Raw genomic sequence first — 2,638 nt, 5'->3', positions numbered from 1 at the left:
TAGATAATAATAGCAAAACAAGAAACAGAAGAAAACAACATTATGCTACTTGGAAACTTGAAAAAAGTCTCATAAGGAATTCTTGGGTCAAAGAGTAAGTCAAAATTGAAATGGATAAATAAATATAAATTAACAATAAAATACTACATATCAAAACCTATGGAATATAACTAAAGCTCTTCTCAGTAAATTTCATAACTTAAATACTCATATTACTAATCAAGAGAGTATAAAAATAAATGGCAAGTCATCCAAATCAAGAAGTCAGAAAGATAAAGCTAAAATAATTAATAACTATAATGCAGAGTTACAGATTTAATAAGGTTGATGAGGAAGAATAAGCAGGTATATTCATAAGAAATAAAATGGGACCAAGAGAAGTAGAGAAAAGAATTATGAGATTATTTAATGTAACATTAATTAGATGAACCTGAAATTCCTATAAAGTAGGTAATCTTTGAAAACAAACATAAAAATTGACCCTGAAAAAATTACAAAATTAAATAGACAAATTAATGCAGAGGACTCAGAGCTGCAATGGGATTCTTTTCTAGTATACTATTAGATAATAAAATCAAACCAAAAAAGGGCACAAAAATACAAATTATTAAAGAATTTTCCTGTAAAAATACAGAGGAAAATCTTGGCAAACGGAATCCTGCAGCACATTTAAAGCATGTTATGCTGTGGCTCAGTGGACCTCACGAAGAATTCAGGGATAGTTTACTTTGTGGCAATATAGGAACATATTAAATTAATAGATTTATAGGATAAAGATAAAATAATTAGCTTTGTAGATATTTGTCTTAGTTTAGGCTGCTGTAAACATACTATAAACTGGGTGGCTTTTAAGCAATAGAAATTTACTTTCTCACAGTTCTGGAGGCTGGAAGTCAAAGATAAAAATGCTACCATAGTCAGTTTCTGGGTTCTTATCCTGGCTTGTAGATGGCTACCTTCTCACTGTGTCATCACATGGGGGAGAGGAAGCAAGTGAGTTCTCTGTTGTTTCTTTTTATAAAACCGTAGTCCCATCATGAGGACCCCACCCTCATGTCCTCATCTAAACCTTATTACCACCCAAAGGCCCGTGAATTTCCAAATACTATCCAAATTTCCAAATACCATCACACTGTAAGTTAGTGCTTCAACAAATGAATTTTAGGGAGAAATAATTCAGTCCATAGCAATGTTCAAAATGTATTTCATAAATTTAGCATATACTTTTATTAAAGACAATTAAATGAATTTATCTCAAAAGTCAGCATCACATTTAATGAGGAAACTAAGATCATTCCAATTGTAGATAAGAATAGAAATTGAATTTTCAATATCACCACTATTCTTTTTTTAAACCAAGAAGAAAGAAAATTTACATACCTTGTATGAAATGCTTATATTTTAAGTTCACAATTTGATAAAGTTTGACAAATGTATACACCTGTGTAACTACAATGCCCCCAAAGTTTTGATTACCTCAAAAAGATTCTTTCTGCTTTTTTTAATTGGTCATAAATTCTACTTAATTTTATGATTGTTCCCTATTATTTCATATAGTTTTGGAGATTAACCCTAAACAATTAGAAAATAAATAATAAGTGTAAAATTTAGAAAGGAAGAGATAAAATAATCATTATTTATAGCTAATATAATTGTAAATCTGGAAATCAACTGAAAACCAATGAAGAATATTAAGATGGTTGGGTAAAAATATAATATACCCAAGTCAGTAGTGACACAGGAATTCTCTTGGTCACTTTATCAGCCGGGACCTCTAGCCAGTGACACACCCTCGCCCCCCACCCCCTTGCTCTGCCCCAGACGTGCCACTGGAGGCATCCCACCCACTCAGCCGCCTGAGCCGAGTCTGGCTTGCACGCCAGCTCATCCCGCAGCTGGGCCAAGTACACCCTAGTCCACTGTATTATAGCTTGTAAACACGTTGGAAGGTTCCCAAGCTCTTGTCCTGTACCCAAGAAAAGTGAAGATATGCTGACAGTTGAAGGGTGAGGATGGGCGGAGAAGAATTTTATTGAGCAATGGAACGCTCTCAGTGGGGAAGGACGAGGAGGGTTTATGGGGGGGATGGTCCCCACCTCCACATTGGGGTAGTTTTTTCCTTTTTCAGTGTTCTTGGGTCTGGGGCTTTTTATGGACTCAGAATTGGGAGTGCATGCTGATTGGTTTGTGAGTATGCAAAAAAGGTTAAAGACACCACTCAAAGGTGGGCATCACAGTGCAGAAAACCAATTAGGAAAGGGTAGGCATATGTAAAATAGGTGAAGGGTGGGGATGAATCAGAGGAAAGTGCACCAAACAGGAAAACAGGTTCTCAGTCTGGTCCAAGGATTTACCTTGTAGTTTGGCTTTCAGGCCAATTTTCCTTGCCACCAATCTCCAATCTTTTTCCTTTAATATCTCTGAAAAAATCTAGCTTTCAGGCTTTCAGGCTTTAAACTGTCTTCGGCTTGGAGGTGGAGCTTCACCAGGGACCCACCCCTTTCCGCCTAAGCGTTTGACTGCCTTCTTTCACCGTCAGTAGCTTTCCTATATTCAAATAACAACTAACTGAGAAACCTTGCAACATATATTTCTTAACCTTTTAGAGGATCTATAAAATGAGTGATTCTTAAGTTTC

The 2,638-nt window shown here is 35.7% G+C and overlaps 1 annotated feature.

The window, feature by feature from the left end:
• Positions 1,380–1,880: an enhancer, noted in NCBI's record as "H3K4me1 hESC enhancer chr2:75608329-75608829 (GRCh37/hg19 assembly coordinates)". NCBI's record gives its function as "activates a minimal SCP1, AML or CMV promoter by ChIP-STARR-seq in primed H9 embryonic stem cells {active_cell/tissue: H9 hESC(primed)}" and the evidence as "EXISTENCE:reporter gene assay evidence [ECO:0000049][PMID:30033119]".

The sequence above is a fragment of the Homo sapiens genome, chromosome 2, assembly GCF_000001405.40.
Source record: "Homo sapiens chromosome 2, GRCh38.p14 Primary Assembly".
NCBI lineage: Eukaryota > Metazoa > Chordata > Mammalia > Primates > Hominidae > Homo > Homo sapiens.
The sequence above is the reverse complement of the archived record's forward strand: the minus strand, read 5'-3'. Positions and strand labels throughout refer to the sequence as shown.